At 34.5% G+C, this 20,597-nt stretch overlaps 1 protein-coding gene across 6 annotated transcripts in view; it reads right to left on the bottom strand.

Moving 5' to 3' along the window:
• Positions 1–20,597, bottom strand: part of LRRC7 (leucine rich repeat containing 7) — a 576,443-nt gene that overhangs the window by 125,150 nt on the left and 430,696 nt on the right. For all 6 annotated transcript variants that reach the window (NM_001330635.3, NM_001366839.3, NM_001370785.2 and 3 more), the window contains 4 exons: positions 7,289–7,418; positions 6,126–6,241; positions 2,681–2,750; positions 397–496 (listed from right to left, as the gene is read on the bottom strand). In NM_001330635.3, coding sequence (NP_001317564.1) covers positions 397–496; positions 2,681–2,750; positions 6,126–6,241; positions 7,289–7,418 — 416 coding nt within the window. The remainder of the gene's footprint in view (positions 1–396; positions 497–2,680; positions 2,751–6,125; positions 6,242–7,288; positions 7,419–20,597) is intronic.

Here is a 20,597-nt window from a genome sequence, read left to right as displayed (position 1 = left end):
TGTTCATGCAATAAATGAACACAGCAACTAAACCAGTTCATTGAAACTTCCTTAGGATCTGACTGCTCTTAGCTCATTTCAATTAGCTGGTTACCAGATCTGCTTTACTAGTCATGTGTCTTGCAATCCATAAAGAGAAATAGTTGCTCCTAAAAATCAACATTATTTTTATGTAAGATATAAAGATGAAGAGTTTTGTTTTGGAAGCTTATCTAAAATAGAGTAGAAAATAAGACTTATGCTTAAAGTACATCCCCAAATGATATTTGTGTGTCATGTAATTATCTTTATAAGCTTGTCCATGTGCCAGTACTCCTGGCCAGAGATCTGAATAAAATTAGTTATTTCTATCCATAATCATTATAAGTAGAGAAGAAATTTCTACTGACAATTTACCTTCATCACCACGAGGCTGCTGGGGAAACATGTAGTTAGTCAATACTCTTTGCTTTGTTTCTGGATGGGCTTCTGTTTGTAAAGGGATAAGGGCTTTGGACTAGAAGCAAAGAACATACAAATTAGATGAATACAATTGCAAATATATAACAGTCAATAGTCTGGTCTCACTCAGATAAATAAACATTGGGGGGAAAAAGTGAAAAAAGAAATAAAATAAGAAATTACAACATGAAATAATACTATTACTGAGGAATATTTTCATATTCTAAGATTTTCATAATAAAGTTTTCTTCTTCTTTAGTATATCCTTTTACAAAACTTATCAAAACCTATTCAACTGGGCAATGTCAGATTTAATCCTGAACAGTTCAAAATGTGTTAAATTGTTTCAACTAAGTAAGCTTTTGGTACAGTTCTATATGCCTATTCATTTTCATGGATTATTGCCCTAGAAAGACAAATGGAATTTGCTATCAAATTTATGCTATGCAAGATCATCTATGAATTTAATTAGGTTAAAACAGCATTCACTTATTTATAAGAGATATTTTTATAGCCAAAGACAGGGTCCACTTTATAGATAAGCAACTGTACTTGTACCTGATATATCATAATATATTGACCTCTGTGCATATTTCATTCTGTTATTAGTTTGATTTCAGAAATATTCATTCTGAAGGGATATTCTAGAACTCTGATAGTCCATGTCAGAAATATATTGGAAATGATATTATCTAATATACTAAAAATCTGCTTATTTAATGACATTAATAGGAGTGAAACACAAAGGGGATTTTTGATATCAGTTTGTCTCATGAAACTGAGTCATAACCACATTACATTACTCTTCTAAATAAAAGTTAAATGATGCAGTCACTGCTCTGTTCATTCTCCCACAAGAATAATAAATCATATTTTTTTCCCATAATGCAATACTGTGGAATATACTATTACATTAGCATAGTTCACATTGATTCCAGAAATTATTTATGATGATATATTGATGCCTTGAAAAATCTATAGTTTATTGATAAGATTTGAATTTGAATTACTAATTTTTGACTCAGATGGAAGCAAATGCTGTAATTACTGTAGGAACACAAACAATATTCTTATATTTAGATTTTATAATTTGTAAAGGTTATTTTAAATTTTCCACAAGTGTCCAATGACTGTAAATATGAACAATTCACGTACCAGTAATGCTACTTTTATGCTCAGAAAATAATGATGAGCTAAATTCAAGATGAATTGTTTTCATTTAGCCATTCATATTTGAGGATAGGTGTTTCAAAATTTAAGGATCACAAGAAAAAAGAGGACTAATAAACTATATAAAAATTGTCTATCATTAGTTCTTCTGTAGGCAAATCAGTTATCTTCAATGGTTTCTTGTTATTTTCCAGTTAATAAAATTATTTACTAATGCAATATTACTGATTCAATTAAAATCTGTTTTCAAGAGGATAAAAAATAATATCAAAACAATTTTACAGAAAATACTAATAGTTGCCAAAAAGATATTGCAAATTCCTTTTTTTTTTTTTTTCTGAGACAGAGTCTCGCTGTGTCACCCAGGCTGGAGTGATCTAGACTCACTGCAACCTGTGCCCCCCGGGTTCAAGCGATTCTCCTGCCTCAGCCTCCCGAGTAGCTGGGATTACAGGCATGCTGCCGTGCTGGGCTAATTTGGTATTTTTAATAGAGACAGGGTTTCACCACATTGGTCAGGCTGGTCTTGAACTCCTGACCTCAAGTGATCTGTGTGCCTCGGCCTCCCAAAGTGTTGGGATTACAGCATGAGCCACCGCGCCCAGCCTGATATTTCAAATGTCATTAATGAAGCTTTTGAATTAAGTTGATTATAATTAAAAGGATAAGAAGAAAGAGGAACATAGAGGATAATAATTCCCTGTTGTGGGGATTGTGGTAACAATTTCTTATTCTTTACCTTCAGAGATATAATTAAAGTACATCCTCTAAGGACCTACGTGTACCACCTAGAAGTTAAAAAGCTATAAAAATGATCATTTTGTGTATTAGATCTCAGAGAATTAAGTAGATGTTAAATAGAAGTATTTAAGGAGGGTGGGGCTTACAGTACTGTTTTGACTTCAGCAATGTTTGAATTGCTATCTTTACAAAATTCTCTCTTTCTGGGGATAAAAACAATCTACATTTTGTAGCTGCTGTCAAAGGTATCTATTGGGAATAAATTAGTAATTCAAACTTTCAATTATAGTTCATCTTAATAAATAAATCAGGCAATAAAACCTTTTACCTGATTGTCAGAAAGCCACAAAGCTGCAAGCTCTTTAAGTTTGGTAAATGAGAATGGTAAATTCTTCAATCTGCAAAAACACAAAAAGTCTAATAGCATGGGTAAAGATGGATAATAGTTCATTTCTAAGAATTATTTAAAATACTCTAACTTGTTGGTTTCATTCTTTTCTTGAATCCCTTCTCCATTGAGCAGCCTGAACAATATTTAAAAAAATGAAAATATCCTATTTACAACCCTTCAAATACTTCCCATTATATCTGAATAAAAATAAAAAATGTTTAACATGTATGGTTAGAGCTTAAAAGGTCTGGCCCCTAAAAATCCCTCCAGAAGTTTATCTGCAACTCTTTTCCTGACTCAGTCCCGTCAGGACAACTGGCTCTATCGGCCTGCTCTTTTTTCTGGCATACTCTCTCCCTTACTTCACTTTACTGAATCCCACGTATCTATTCACTCTTAGCTTAAATGCCATCTTCTCAAAGAGGCTTTTCTTGACTCCTCATTTAAATTACTTCCCTCAATCTGGTTTCAAAGCACCTTGTATTTTCCTTCATGGAACATACTGCAGTTTTAAATTATACATTTATTTTTGTGATAATTTGCTTACTCTTTGCTATCCCTTGAAAACTAAACTGTAGGCTCCATGAGGGCAAAGGGCAATGCTTGTTTTACTACTAAAGGAAGGTACAGCTCCCAATATTATGTTGACCTTCAGCAAGTATGTTCTTTTGACCTTCATGCAATGTGTAGTAGATATTCAAAGGGGTAATCTTTAAAAAATTAGCACTTCTAAGATGTATAACTTGATATTAGCCTTGGTATTCAATCAAAATTATATATTTAGCTTTGGCTTCAGCCTTTGGAGGGCCAAAGTACTTCACACTATCTGATATCCTTCAAATTATGCATGATCAACACATCGTGATCACATGGGTTACCATCAAAGCTAGTTAGCAAAGTGAGTAGTACAAACAAGGCATGCCAATGAGACTTATTACTAACTTCTGGATATTCACTTTTGAATACAGATAAACATTTTAGATATAATATAGAATGAAAATTTCCTTGTCTTTAATGTATTAGAATTCTGTCAGCCAATAGATAAATAAATTTATTTTGATAATGGAAGTGGGCAATCTTACAGTAATTAAAAATTAATTTTATAGTTAATTTTATGAGCGAAAGCAGTTAAACACTTCTTAAAATCTAATAAATATGAAAAGAGATTGAAAGGCAATAGAAATATTAAAACTGCATTATATAGATAACTTTAGAAAAAATATAGTAACCTTTCTGAGCTAATAAATATTTATAAAATATAAACATGAATATAAAGAATAACTGATATTAAATTATATCGCAATTCTTTTTTATATAATTGTTACAGTAACATTTATAACTTTAAGCCAAATTACCCCTAAAAGTTATTCCTAACTAAAAGTTATTTCAATTCACTTAAGCCAGAAATTGTGAAGTAAGATCTTATTGGGAGAGTTTTTCACAACGTATGGGGTATATTAAAAGCAGAATGTCAATTCTGCTGCACTGAAATTACATGAGTGCAAAACTATCCAGAATCATGTAAACAACATCCATGATATCATCATCAATCCAGTCATAAATGTAGAATATGAAGAAACTGCTAGAAAAGGGCAAGATACCCTTGATTTTCTTTCCTTTTCCAGTGACCTCTATTGCAAGTGAGCTCCTATTTGGTAACATAAATGTGCAGTACATTGACCACAGGAGCAATCTTGCAGCTGACAAGGCAGAGGAATCATTGTTCCTAACTATAATGTCAAACTTTAAAAATCTAGTACATTTTAAATACAAAATTATAATAATCATTACTTTTGGATGACATTGCTTAATCTTTTCTCCAAACAGTTCCTTCTCTGGTGGTAATATTTAACTTTGGCCTAACTTTAGCTGAATATTGATTTTTACCTCTGCTTGATTTACTGATTGATTCATTAATTTAAAAATAGTAATTTGGCTCCATAGTATGTTCCAGCAACTGTACTAGGACATAACTTAAGCTTATATTTCTGTCCTGATGAATTTATTTTAAACTTCTGACATTGTGAGCTCCTCTATGTATTATTCATAAATTTCACCCTAGCACCTGGCAGTGTGTCTGGCTCATTGTAGGTGAACTCAAGTCTGCTACAGTTGTTGAATAAGTATCTTCAAAGTATTAATAGAACTTCTAATTATGGATCATTGATAATATTTGCTAAGTATATTTTGCATACGATGAATGAATTATTTTCATTCATAATACCAAGAATTTCCTAATCTTATTTATAACAATATAATTAGAGATTTTAAAAAATGTCTTGCCAAAAGTCAGAAACAACTTTCAACGTATTTTCCTCATTTTCCAGGCTAGTAACACAGTCAGAAGAGGAAGCAAGGTTGGTTTGACATGACTTGCTCTTGATGCATAAAGCTTTGGTGCTTCCTTGTCACCTGATACTATAAATAACATTCCAAACTTTTTAATAAAATGTTTTATTCCCTTATGTGGGAATATTATTAACTAGTAAATGAAGTTTTGAAGTTCACATTTTTCCTTAAACTAAGAAACAAATGAGAATTCCAATGCTTATCCTGAAACTTCTAAAATCTGATTATTCTTATGATTCCATAAAAGCTAATCTTTGATCATTTCATTGCAAGTTCTCTCAGTTCCTTTTATTATCAATTGCCTAGTTGAAACTTATTGAAAACATAGAGCTCATGCATTATATTTTGTGATTATTTTATTTTCTTAGCTGTTATCTCTAGTCAATATTTGTTCTTATCCTTTCCTATTTGAGGATAATTATCTTTTATAGAGTAGGTGGAAACAAAGATGAATTGAGGTTTGCACTTTTTCTTTTTACCCATCTATCAATATAATGCCGTTATTGGAAGTAAAGGACCTATCCTTTCCTCATTCATCTGCTCTAAACATGACTAAACAGCCATTTCGTTGTCAGTATTCTAATGAGCACTTTGATGGAATTGAAAATATACACATTGCCCAGTTAATTTGTTGGAAACCAAAATATAGACGTGAAAACACAAATGTGTGCATACATACATACATAGATATGCACATTTTTATTAATATATTTTCTATATTTTTATTATAGTTTTCCATGTCTTCATATTATTATGCTTTCTGCATATGGGAAGGCTTTTGTATATAAATTTGTGTGATTCATATTTATATAATTTTAATACATTACATATGCTTTTGATATAATCAAATAACAAAATTCAGAAATACTTGGTTTAAAAAATAATTTACCTTCTGCTATTTTAAGGAAAGTATCAGTATTTGCATTCCGTATATGTCGAAACGCAGAAAATGTTATCAAAACTATAGGCAAAAAAACTATAATTTGCTTTCAGCAAATAACTAATATGTGATTGTGAAATGTTGCAAAAATACCTGTTGTCACTCAAATTTAGGACTCTTAGTTTCTGCATCTGTCCAATCTCTTCAGGAAGAAATTCTAATTTGTTGGAGCGTAGAGACATGACTGTTACATTCTTACAACTTCCAATCTGTAGGTAACAAAAGAAAATAGGTAAAAAAATCAGACCACAATACTATTTTTATATTAATTTTTCTAATTTTTAAAACAATTTAGTAGATTTTCTTATTTTTAACTTTTAACATGTGCATTGTTTTGTTTTTATAATGTAGCTCTTTAAAATATAGGTATATTATATATATTATTTTAGATATTAAGGGAATTTATACCAAATTTTCTTTTACATATTAAAAATGAAGAATTTTCTTTATAATTTTATGCTTAAAATACTTGCTAACATTATTGTTTTCATATATCATATAATTTTGTCTGTCGAAGTGAGTACTAATATATCTTTGTTTATAACAGAAGATCATACACACTCAAAAATACAATATTGTTGACATTTCCTAGGCAAAGTTAGTTTTGCTTCACATTAAAGTGTTTTTCGTCATTTTTAATAATATGTTTTGGCTCTAAGATAATTATATGTTGTTTATTGTTGCATCATTATAAGAATGTTTAGTAGAAAATGCTCAATTGAAAATGTACTTCACATACAGCAAACTTGAGCACCAAGTAAATTTAAAAAATGTACTTTATACTTTTTTGATATTAGTAAGTAAAATCCCACTTAGATGTAAAAATTAACAGAATCTCTTGGTGGATCCAGAAGTTAAAATAATATTATAATGCAGCATGATACCTTAAAAAGCATATGTACATTTAAAAAGTTTGCTACAGAAATATAAATGTAATTACTCCAAAATATTATTTATAACTATTCTGAAAACCAAAAGATATAAATTAACTGACTTTAAATGATATTTCCTAGCATTAATTAACTTTTATTTTCTTACTTTTATTTGCATGCGAGATTTAAGTCAAATGCAATTTCTGGGTCAAATATAAGAACTTGTCATTTAAAATAGAATAATTAGCAAATATATATGTAGATAATTCCTATATATATTCACAGCTCAACTCATGAATCTACATTGCTATTCTACCTGTTAAGATTTTACTCCAAAACAGATTAATTAAAAGTTAATAAATAGAAAACAAGTTTATTTCTCACTTCTCTGGGTAATTCTGGAAGGAAATTCTCATCAACTGCTAATGTCCGAAGACTATGAAGGTAGCCAATAGTAGAAGGTAGTGACTCCAGTTCATTACAGCTACAGTCAAATTCTTCTAATAAAGATAAACTGAAAAGTTAAATACATTAGTTAGACATTTTAAAAGTTAGATAGCAAAATGTTTTGAAAAAGCCACATATCCAAAATTCACCAAAACAAAAGTTATTCATGCGGTAACAACATAATATTATATAATTTACCAGTTCAAATGATTTAATACTATCAAATAAATGGTTTAACTTGGTAAAATAAATATAGTTTACTTTTTCCCTTTCTAAATTTACCTGTTATTTAACAGCCATTGAAAACGACAAAATAATTTTTCATTTGTTTACAACTTAGGTGTTCTTTGTAGCCAGATGTTCAGAATGTGTATCCTTGGAATGAGTGACTATAACTGTCATGGGGTAAGGAGAAGGGTGGAGAGGGCAGGTCCAGGGGATGATTGAGTTGGGAGAAACAATAAAAACAAAACATTGATAAAATGTTAGGTATTTTACTAAGCATTTTAGAGATTAAAGAAAAAAAAAACCACCAATTCTCTTCCTCATAAAAACTATTTAAGATATGTAATATTTTAAAGCCCATTTTACAGATAAGAAAATTGAGGCTTAAAGGGGCTAACTTCTTCAAAGCCACACAAAATAACAACTCTGGGAATTAAATGCAGACAGTAGAGAGTCACTGTATTATCCTGCCTCTTAGCAGGTGCTATGGACAGGGCTCATTTCAGCCTGCAGATGTGTTTTGTTTGATTTATATAGTGGTATTTTAGAAAGTGTTAAATTATATAAGTATTTAAAATTTTACATAATGATCCAGAGTTTTGATGCCTCTTGAAACAGAGAAAGCTCTGTCAATACGGGGTCTGTATTCTTCCATGACAAGTAATGGAAATGGATTAATAGCTGCTGCCTTCAAATGGGCATAATTCTTCAGTGTGCCTCCAGTTTGTCACAATCCCTACCAGTCCATACTTAGCCGGCTTTACTTCAGATCTACAGAAAGGAATTGTATAGATGTACATTGAAATTATCACAAGGCAACAAGACACTTCAATGCCTGGTTTGAGATAGCTGGGAAAAAAGGGCCTGGCACAGAGTAAGCACCAGATACATTGCAGTTGGCGTTGGTATTGTTGAAATTATTATTAAACTGTTCTTACTATTCCTATTATATTGCTATTATTATAATAGGAAGGAACCCCCAGGGGTGAAGATTCTACCAATGTAAAGGGAAAAATGAATTTGAGTTAGGTGGAGTAAGGTTGTAGAATTAGAATCCTTTTTTTTTCTTTTGTTGAGATGTAGTCTTGCTCTGTCATCCAGGCTGGAGTGCAGTGGCACAAACTCAGCTCACTGCAACCCCCACTTCCTGGGTTCAAGTGATGCTCCTGTCTCAGCCTCCCAAGTAGCTGGGATATAGGCTCCTGCCACCACGCCCAGCTAATTTTTGTATTTTTAGTAGAGATGGGGTTTTGCCATGTTGGCCAGGCTGGTCTCAAACTCCTGACCTCAAGTAATCTACCTTCCTCAGCCTCCCAAAGTGCTGGGATTACAGGCGTGAGCCACTGTGCCTGGTCAGCATCCTTTTTTATGTTAAAACTAGTTAGCTTGAATGCAATTTGCTTCCATTATTTATTTAACAATTGAACACAGAAATTAAGCATATGGGTTGAAGTCAGAATGGATTTGTGTCCCAGCTTTGTAACTTACTAACTGTATTATCTTGGGTATCAATAAATTAAATACAGAACACCACAGCTCAAAAAACAAAGCAGATTTTATTTATCTGATATGCAAGGGAATACATCAGGGAAGAAATTCACTGAGTAGCACTCTGAGGGGAAAAATCAGTGACTGAGGGGCTGGTGATAGTGGGTCATGATGATTATACTCACTAAGGGTTGAAAATTTGCATTATAGAGAGGGTGGGATGAGTGCACAAGTCTGTGTGCAGCTAAGCAAATCAAGTACCACTGTCCATGGGTCATGAAAAAATCTAATGCAATTAGGATCAGTCTGACTCTGACCAAGGTCATTCAAACTTCATCACCTTAACAGATTCAGCTGATTAGAATGAGTTGTGGTGAAACACAGCATTCAATTTTGAGTAACAGCTCTTAGGAAAGTATTGCTTAAGTAAACATTTTTCCTTTTATATTGACAAATCATAGAAATTCTCTCTAAGCTGGAGATTCTTTATATTTACAATGAGGATACTAATAATGCCTGCCTCATGCAGTGGCTCTAAAATGAAATGTTATTAAGAACTTAGCACAGTACCTGTCATAAAATACATGTTCAGTACATTTTTCCTCTTATTATCAGTAAACCGGTTAAATTTGTTTCAACATCCTTTGAGGCCCCTCATTTGCAGGGATGGTTATGTTGCTGGGATGCCAAGTGTACATAACTGTGTTACTCTGTGTATGTGTGTTTGTGGGGGCAGGAATCCATATATGTGAGGGATCTAGTAACAGAGTTTGTTTCTCAAAAAAAAAAAAAAAAGAAAGAAAGAAAGAAAAAAAAGAAAGTCTAGCACTGGGTCTTACATATATAATGCACTCAATAAATTTTTTAGAATTGCATAAAAGAGGTCTCTATCAATAGTTTGGGGTCGTGTACTCAGCAAGGAGTCATAAATACTAGGAATTTTTTAAAATAAAAATTACAGATTTATGTTCAGGGGCAGAAGTTAAAGAAGGTATTTAATGAAAATAATATAATTAAGGTTTCTCTCTTTTTTCTTTTTTTATAATAAAAACATGTATTGAAGTTAGTCTTGGTCTTGGTAAGGTGGTTGTCACCTTGCACAATTCCAATGTGTGAACATTTCAGTTGTCATGTTTCATTCAACAACACCAGTCTCCCAACAAACTGGCTCAAATTTCAGTTACCTTGGTATTCAGATGAGTAACTGCATCTCAGTTTCTTCAGTCCACATATTACAATGTGAATAACAGATGTACATTGTGATCAGTGACCGGTCACGTCACTTCCTTCAAAGTCTGTCAATGATTGGTCATTGCCCTTCTGTTATTTGGCTCACACACAGACAGCAAAACATGTGTTGCCTTCCTGTCTCTCAGCAGTAGACAGATACTATAGACCAAATAATTTAACCATTAAAGCACTACAACTATTGGATAATGCTCTTGGTCACCCTAATTCTCTTGGAGATTGAAATTAAAATGTGAAAATTTGCTTTATACCACCAAGGAAAACGTCATTAATCCAGCCTATAGACCAAGGAGTTATTTCAACTTTTAAAGTGTATTATCTTAAACAGACTTTTGAATAGGGTATTCATGCTACAACTGGTGATCATGCAGTTTCTTTACCTGTGTTCTAGATGAAATATGACATGAAACATACAATTTAAAACATTCAAGCATCATGGCAGAAAGTGACAATAAGTAATATGCATAGAGCATAGAATAAACTTTTAGCACTGTGATGGTTAATACTGAATGTGAACTTGATTGGATTGAGGGATACAAAGTATTAATTCTGGGTGTGTCTGTGTAGGTGTTGCCAAAAGAGATTAACATTTGAGTCAGTGGGCTGGAGCAGGCAGATCCACCCTTAATCTGGTGGGAACAATCTAATCAGCTTCCAGTGAATGTAAAGCAGGCAGAAAAATGTGAAAAGGCGAGATGGGCCTAGCCCCCCAGCCTACATCTTTCTCCTGTGCTGGATGCTTCCTGCCCTCAAACATTGGACTCCAAGTTCTTCAGTTTTGGGACTAGGAGTGGCTTCCTTGCTCCTCAGCTTGCTGACAGCCTATTGTGGGACCTTGTCATCGTGTAAGTTAATACTTAATAAGCTCATATATATATATATCTCTGATTAGTTCTATTCCCCTAAGAGAACCCTGACTAATACAAGCACATTGTACAAATAAATTTGAATCTAACGTAAATGAAATCATACAAGAAATAGTTGCCCATGGGAATGCTGACACTGCTACTACTAGGAAGACTCTAGATAAGCTTCTAGAGGACCTAGTGAAGGCAAACTTATATACATAAATGAGGAAAGTGTGATGAAAAGAATGAAGATGTCCCAGAGGAAGTTGCTGGCAATAAACCTCACATTAAAGGAACTTTCAGAGATATCTCATGACACTGAAAGCACAAAAGATAAAATTTTGGAAGTGGATCTAAACTTAAAAGGAACATGACAATTCATTAATGCAAAGAAAAGATGTTCACACTGTTTAACAACGTATCATGAAAAGACGGCAAGCATTGTTCAAACTAACCCTGATATGTTTTTTAAATTAAAATAAGCCTTAATTCTCAGTGTTTCTAATGTTTAATATTACATTATACAAAAATAACTATTAGTTTTACTATTTTTTTCATTTTTCCTATGCATTTGTAACCTACATTAACAGTATTTAATGCTTGGACAAAAGGTTTTAAAGACCTTTTCTAAGAACAATCATAATGTTTCCCATTGATTATTAAGACTGTTTTGCACAGTTTCAGATTGCAAGGTCATTTTTACGATCCCTGTGAAATATTGTGATTTATAATAAGAAATACATATTTGACCTTCATCCAGTTCTTGGCACAGAATTCCTAAAACCCTTGGAATTGCCAAAGTGATAAGCGTCTTTCTGGATGCTAATGAAATGACTTATGGCTAAGGGCTCTGGGATAGCCTCAGAATGGGGGCTGGTTGCCAAGGGAACCACCTTGTGATTAGAGGGCTGGAAGTTTCGGTCTCACCCCCTGACCTCTGGGGAGGGGAGAGAGGCTGAACGTTGAGTTGATCAGCAATGGGCAATGATGTGATCCATCAGGCCAATATAATGAAGACTCCACAAAAACCCAAAAGGTCAAGGCTTGGAGAGCTTCCATGTTGCTAAACACACAGAAATGCTGGGCAGGTGGCACACCCAGCAAGGACATGGAAGCTCCTCATCCCTTCTCACACACCTTTCCTTTTGTACCTGTTCATGTGGCTGCTCATTTGTATCCCTTGTAATATTCTTTATAATAAACTGGTTAATGTGTTTTCCTGATTTTTGTGAGCCATTCTAGCAAGTGATTAAACCTCAGGAGGGAGTGATAGGGAGCCCCAATTTATAGGTGGTCAGCCAGAAGTACAGGAGGCCTGGACTTGTGATTGGCATCTGAAAAGGGGGGATAGTTTTGTGGGACTGAGCCCTGAACCTGTGGGATCTGATTCTAACTTCAGGTAGGTGTGTCGAAATTGAGTTAAACTGTAGGGCACCCAGCTGGTATCCACTGAGAACTGCAAAGTTGCTTGGTGTGGGAAATCCCATACACATCAGCGATCAAAACTAGTCTGTGTTGAGTGTTGATAATTCAGTAGGAAAAACACATATTGGTGATTTCTTTCTTTCTTTTTTTTTTTTTTTGAGACTGAGTCTTGCTCTGTCGCCCAGGCTGGAGTGCAGTGTTGCGATCTTGGCTCACTGCAGCCTCTGCCTCCCGGGTTCAAGCGATTCTCCTTCCTCAGCCTCCCCAGTAGCTGGGAATACAGGCGCCCACAATTGTTTGGTGATTTCTATACAGTCCCGCACTACTCTGCAGAGCAAGGACTTCCTGTATTAAAAAAACATTTTGACTGCACCATGGGCAATAAGGAATTAATAATTTAGAGCCTGAAAGTATTTTACATCTTTGGGTTGCAACAAAGATCTTCCAGATGCAAAACACATATTCCTCAATGATCTCTAAAATTCCAGAGATTCAAACTCATAACCTACAATTCCAGCTGACCTTGTTGGTGGCTATTTTGTTAAAAATCATTTAAGTTGTTTTAATACAAAATCCGGTATTAAAACAGTTATCATATTTAATCAGATTGCCACTGACATTTGTAATGAAGTGAAAAAAAAAAGACCAAAGGTTACCTTTATTTTTTCAGATGCTTTATTTTTATAATTGTGGAAAGTAAAAATAAGTTGCAAAGAATGTGTGAAGTACTTTAAAGCAGTGTTTCCCAAACTTCAGTGTGCATGCCAGTCACAAGGAGAACTTAATAAAATGCAGATTATGATTCAGTGGTTTGGGGAGAGGCCCAGGTCCTGCATGTATAACCAGCTCCTAGATGATGAGATGCTGCCAGTGCAGGGGCCACACAATAAGTTGCAAGGATTTAAATAAAACCTTTCCAAATCTATCAAGAGTATCATTTAAACACATAAAATAGACATATCAATAAATGCTAAACTACATATAAATATTACAATAGTTGTGTTTAGGTCATGTATGCTTCAGAATGAATGATGCTACTGGGAGTAATAATGTTTGAAATCAGCTGTATTGACTTCAGTTTCTAAAAATATTCTGTACAGTTTTCTCTACTTTAGTTTCATGTTCATGAGTTGCTCTTGGATAGGAAAATATTACTGTATCATTAACCCTCAATTACCTAGCTAATAGGGAAGAAAGATTGTGAATATACTACATAGATAATTTATAATTTCACTTTAACATCATTGGTGACCATTAGATATAATTAATCTATGATCAATGTAGATGATAATAAATATAAAAATAATTGGCTTTGGGCTTCACCTTCTTAATTCACTTTTAATTCTTAACAGAAGTAATGTAATTCAGTGGAAAATATTGAGACAGGCGTGGGCTCCAATTCTAGTGTAGATACTTAATAGCTGAGTGACCTTTATCTACTATTAACCCCTGTTTTCTCACCGATAAAATTGGTTGATAACATCTAACATATAGAGTTTCAATGAAGAGTAAATATATGCAAAACCCCTGAATGCTAAATGGAATAGATATCACATCCCATTAAAGTGGTCTGTTACGAGGTAGAGTACCTGGAAAAAAAAAAACGAATCTTGAACAATCTATTTCTGAAGCGTGTAAAAGTTGTCCTGCGATATTCCCTTGTTAAGATCAGTTGTTTCATAAAATAAAACTGACTTCTATTCCACAAAATGTAAAATTGTTTAGTAATATGTGGGAGAGGTAAATTTCAGATGACTCTGAAAAACTATTATTGTATTAACAAAGATTTAGTAGAGAAGTAGAGAGGAATATAGGAGAGAGAGACAGGCAGGGTGGTAGAGGCAGGGAGGAAGGGAAGGAGGAAGAGGGAGAGAGACAGAGAAAGAGAGGGAGAGAGAGCCGGGGGGAGAGAGAGAGAGAGAGATTTGTTTGGCAAAGGTGAGCTGCTTAACTATTCACTGTCTAAAAATGCCAGTATAACCGAAAGTAGACACCCAACTGCAGCTAGGCAGCTGGGATTGGAGTCTAGACCCTAATAATTACTAGTTACTTAATTACTGTGTACCTCAGTTTCATCACTGAGCAAAAGTGGGTGACAGCAGTACTTAACCACGTGTCATAAGGCCTAAACACACACAAAGGAATTAGTACATGTAAAACACTTAGAATGGGCACATAGCAAATGTTAAGTAACTTTTGCTGCTATACTCATTTTCAGAGATTCTACAATCAATTTCACTTAATTTAGGCTAGGAATCAAGTTTTAGGTTCCATTCTTAATTTTCTTTTTAACATTACATAAGTTGCTTGGGCTGCTTCTAAATAATGGTAGGAAATTTGCAAACTTTAGTCAGACTAATTCTTTTCTATACTGTTTTCCAAGTAAAACACACCCCATTTTAGTACCAAATCTCACGGCCTATGCTGAATTCAGTGAAAGTATGACGAAAACGCATTCATTAGAAACAAAATCATCTAGATTTTACCTCTGAAATGTTGAGTGATTTTAAGCAGCTATCATTATCATAGAGATAATAAACTTTTCATTTGAACCCAATTTTCCCATCTATCTAAAACAACTAGAAACCGTTGCTTTCCTTTTCACTATTTAGAAAGTTGATTAGACTGCTTGAAAATAGAATTTGCAAAAAAATTACGTTAGATTATTGGAGAAAAATATCATCCAAATGTGAAATATTGTTTAAAGTATTTTTTAGTGAACATATCTGCAACTGATGAGTAGAGAATAGCTTCATTCATTAGCAAAGACTATTTTTTTTTTTAAAGATACTATATGTTCCAAGTTGGGAGACTGAAAGATTTCTTAACTAATGAAAAATATGGAAACATTTCATGCATGCAGGAGTAAGTACTGCAATTAATATTTGCCCACAGGACATAAACAGTCACAATTCTGAAATGCTGGGGAAGGAAGTGGAGGAGGAAGTAGGCAGTGAAGGAGGATGACTCTTAAATGGATATCATTAGTGGTTTTGTGCTTTAACTGAAATCTTATACAATCATCAGTGAAATTCCATTTGATCATTTCTTTGTACTTTTCTCAATAACTTTGTGTGTGCCGATGTGAAGATGCCTTTATTACTCTGGCAAATGCATTATTTGTTTTCTTTTCTTTTTTAAATTGCTCTAAGTTCTTTGACTTGAAAACCAACTGCTATGATTCAAAACAGTTTATTCTTCAGGACTCTGTCACAAAGCATGGAAACAATTTCAAACACCTCATCTCCTAAGAGTAGATGTTGTAAGTTTAAAAGATATATGTTATGGACTGAATGTTTCCCTCCAAAATTCATATGTTGAAGTGTTAATCCCCAATGTGATGGTATTTGGAGATGGGGCCTTAGGGAGGTAATTTAGAGTTGGATAAAGTCATAAGGGTGGGGCCCTCATGATGGGATTAATGCCTTTACAAGAAGAGAAACCAGGGCTTGTTCTTCCCTCCGACAACCAACCCATGCAAAGAGGTCATGTAAACTCACAGCAACATGGTGGTCGCCTACAAGCCAAGAGAAGAGGGCTCAGAATAAAACCTACCTTGCTGGTGCCTTGAACTTGGACTCCCCAGCTTCCACAACTGTGAGAAGTAAACATCTATTGTTTATGCCACCCCATCCATGATATTTTGTTATGTTAGCCGGAGCAGACTAAGACATTGTACTATTACTACATTTGCAAATACTTATATTTTTCTTTTTTAGAACCAGATATTTCATTCATGTTATATCACCAAACCTCATATAGATGAACATAAGCAATGATCAGTAAATAAATGTCTTTTTGGATTTTACTATTAATAAAATAATGACTGTAATAATTTATTGAAGCCTATCTAGTTCTAAGTGCCACAACAATTTCTGACAATTATTATTATTTCCATTTTACAGATGAGAAAAATGTGGCTCTGAGACATGAAATGACTTGCCCATGGTCAGTTAGTGAATGGGTGGAGGAGCCAGGATCAAAACCAAAGTCTAGTTCCAAGGCTTGCAAACAATCCTCTGGGCCATACTCTCTTGGCACAATGAAGGAAATGAGAAATGTTCAAGACATGATCCAGCCCTCAAGGAGCCTATATTCTAGTTGAGAAGACATGGCAAAATAAGCAACAAGTTAAATGATGATACAAAAGATAAACATGAGACTGATATTACATCTGGAAAAAGAAATGATAAGTTAGCAGTGTTTCTTTAACTTGTATACAGAGTCCTCCAAAATTATTTGTCCATGAAGCTTGCTTTTATGTCATAGCTATTAATGACCTTTGGCAAGTCACTTCACATCTCAAAGCCACATGTATTACCCTTCAGGATTCTGATGCCCATAGAGAAGAAGGGATTTATCTAGCTTTGCATAGACACTTAGATTTTCTGATTCCTAGTCCAGCAGTCTTTCTGTTTGACCACACTCTATGAAGGAATAGCTTTTAAAAACAACCTTTCAGATTTCTAAGTTTTCATTGCTTTTACCCAAGACTACAAAGCTAAGAACATAAGGCTCAGTCTGTGGTATCTCCTTCGCAGCTAGACTTATGGGACCCACTGAATGACCAAATATGAAGTTATTTACAAAATAACATATTTACAACTATCACATATATATATAAAGACGCATCACATATAGTTCAGTTAACAGCTTGGCATTGAAGTCTGGTGACTTCTCTCTGCCTCTGTTTCTGTATCTGTTGATAAGGACATAATACATATCAAATAATGCTAATGAGGCCTTTAAGTAAATAAGATAATACCTGTAAAGAAAGCACCAAACATGAGGTCTGGAACACTGTGAGTACAAAAAAAGGCGCTCATTATTATTTGATATTCAACTCTTAGAGCTGCTGAAACTCCCAGGCACATAGTAAGGTTCAGCAACAACAAAATAACTAATTTTACAAGTCATTTGGCACAAATGTCATGGAATCCATTTTAACTGTGAAAAATGAATTCTTCCAGGAGTTTTTAAGATAAGTCTGAAATACTGAAATATTCCGTGTGCAGAATAAGAATATTTTCGGTCACTGCGTCTGGTCTTTACATTTCCAGGCTTTCATTGCCCCAAGTTACAGATAGAATGTTTCATTAAAAACATAAATCGTTTGGCCATTTATGAAACTTTTATTTTTGATAAAACTTTTTAATACTTTTAAGATAATTATCCATTAAAACTAAAATGAGAATAAAACGAAGTATGTGAATAACCTAGCATCCATATTCACTTGCATAATTTCTCTATTTCTTTTTTTTATTTCTCTATTTCTTATTTTGTATTTTAACTCTGAATCAAGGCATTCAGTAGGAGAGTAGGTGCATGACAGTTCTAAATATGAAGCCATACTCATTACAAACATCATTAATGTTTGATATTCTCATCCTCTTACTAAAGAACACTGATTTCGATTTCTATATAGTTGTTCTGATTACTATACAACAACTATAATGGAATCAAAAACAAAAGTAGGTTAGGATCTAGTGTTGATAATTTTCAGAAACTATACAATTCTGGAGCTGGGAAACAAAAATGATCTTAATTGAGGTGAGGTATATACATTATGAGACAGAATAAAATAATGAGATGACAAAATAAAAATTATAGGTTGCGAAAAGTATCATGAAAGAAACAGTCGGAACAGGGACAGGAAATTTGCTGGTGATTATATTGGTGGAAAGTCATTTAGGGAAGGCCTCACTGTGGAAGATATATTTAAATCTAAATCTATAGCCTTGTTATTCACAATGTTTCCCGTGAATCTGCAGCATTGTTAACATCACCTAGGAGCTTGTGACAAGGGCAGAACCCAGGCCCTTCAGGTCCCAGACCTACTGGATCAGAACCGGCCTTTTAAACAAAATTCCCAGATAATTTGAATGCTCACTGATGTTTAAGAGTATGGACCTAGAGGATGTGAAGTAGTCAGCCTTATGAAGAGTGGGGAAAGAATATTTCAGGTAGAGGTAACAACAAATAAGAAAGCCCTGAGACAGGGAAAAGCCCAGCTTATTGGAGGCACAGGAGAAGGGCCAGTGTGGCTGAAGCCTAGTGAACAAGAAGAGTGGTACGATTACTGAATGGCAGATGTGATTACAGTCATGCGTCACTTAATGACTGGGATGAATTCTGATAAATATATCATTAGGTAATTTCATCACCGTGTGACCATTACAGATGTATGTACACAAACCTAGATGGTGTAATCTATTACACACCTACGTTATATGATATAGCCTATTGTTTTTAGGCTACAAAACTATAAGACATGTGATTTACTGAATACTGTAAGCAATTGTAACACAATGGCATCTATTTGTGTATCTAAACATAGAAAAGGTACAGTAAAAATACAGTATTATAATCTTATGGGAGCACAGTTGTATATGTGGTCAACTATTGGCATGACCGTATTATCACTATCATCAGGCCTGTATAGGCTGTTTATACATTTTATAATAAAACTTCTGAACTTTGTAGCATGAATTTTTTGTTATATTCTGGCAATGTTTCCCCAGTAATTAGTAGGAAAGCCCTATAGCAAAGATCCCTAGACATTTGTGTCTTCGAAGGCAAGTAGGGTGGGAATTGAAAGTACTCCCCTACTCTGAAGCCATTATTGAAGAATGAGTCCAGAACTAGAGTGGGTGGCAGCAGCAGCTTTCTGGGCTCCCAGGACCTACAGTGAGGAAGAGCACAGTGTGCCAGTAAGTCTGGAAGTGGAACAGGAACTTTACAGAAGAAGACCTGGGCCTATGGTCCCACACTTTTAGATACTCTATTTCTCAAGTAGTTACATCCCTACTTCAGATGATTTCAAAAAAAAATTTCTGGAAGATGTACATCCCAAATTTCTTCTGCTTTTTCTCCTATAAATCACAGTTCCACATCTCTCATGCTGGTCGCCCTCTTGTCAATTCACATAGATGATGTCCAGAACTGACAGAATCAGAAGTGTCAGAGAACACCTGAACTATTAGTACCTATTAATTTTGAGTGGATACTTCCATCTACCCAGCTAATGCTTCAGTGGTTTTCTGGACAGTTCCATTATTATATTGGCTATATTGATGATGGCCAATTGAAGCAATGATTTCTCCCTACTTCCCTAAGAATCTCTATTAAAGTTTTATCGGGTCTTTCAACAAAGCACCCACTCTGTCCAGCTCTTTTGAAATACTGCTTCTGTCACCAAACATAAGTATTTTTTTCTGGCTTTGTGGCATCTGAAAATTTAATGAGAATGAGCAGCTTTCAATAAGAAGCTTCCCTATTCTGCCTTCTCAGTGTTCATAGATGCTCTAATTCTCAGTCACTCACCCTGCTTTTCTGGAATAAGCCTTTTGTCCAAGCAAGTGAAAGCTGCTGACAGCCAACTGATGTTTCCAAATCTGTTCCTTTTGAATACAGTAGTATAAAAGCTTATACCAGGTCACTATTTAAACAGCTCAGTTTTCTCAACATTTACAATTCAACTACCAGGAAGATTTCAAAGGACATGACTAAATTCTGGTGGTAACATAGAAACTAAGACTGACTGTAGTTTAGGCTGTGTGTACAGAGCCAGGCTGCAAGCCCCACTTGGCTGCTGGGGAGGAGACAGAGTTAGAGCTTCAAGTTGCCTGTTCCTGAGGCAAAGTCTGGCATCAGGTACTGCTGGTGAAGGTCAGAGGCAGGAACTCACTCTGGGATGTGACGGGAGCTCAAGGCACACATGTATCCAGTGGTGGTCATGGGCTGATACCAGACTCCAGAAAAAGCTGGGAGGTCCTCACCTGGGAGGTCAAGAGGCCAAAATTCTGGCCAAAAATTACCAGCAAAGCTAGTTCTCAAGATGACCAAAGTCAGGGTTCTACTTCCTACTGAAAAAGCTACCTTTCCTTGTCTATTTTTAGGCTACTGATGCTTTTTAATTTGTCTTCAAAGAGCCAGGGTAGTTTTATAAGAAATATGAACATAAGAGGCAAATACCAATCATGACGTTAAGTAGGGATAAAAGAAGTTGAATT

The sequence above is a fragment of the Homo sapiens genome, chromosome 1 (assembly GCF_000001405.40).
Source record: "Homo sapiens chromosome 1, GRCh38.p14 Primary Assembly".
Lineage (NCBI taxonomy): Eukaryota > Metazoa > Chordata > Mammalia > Primates > Hominidae > Homo > Homo sapiens.
Note: the sequence above shows the minus strand (reverse complement) of the source record. Positions and strands in the feature narration are given on the sequence as shown.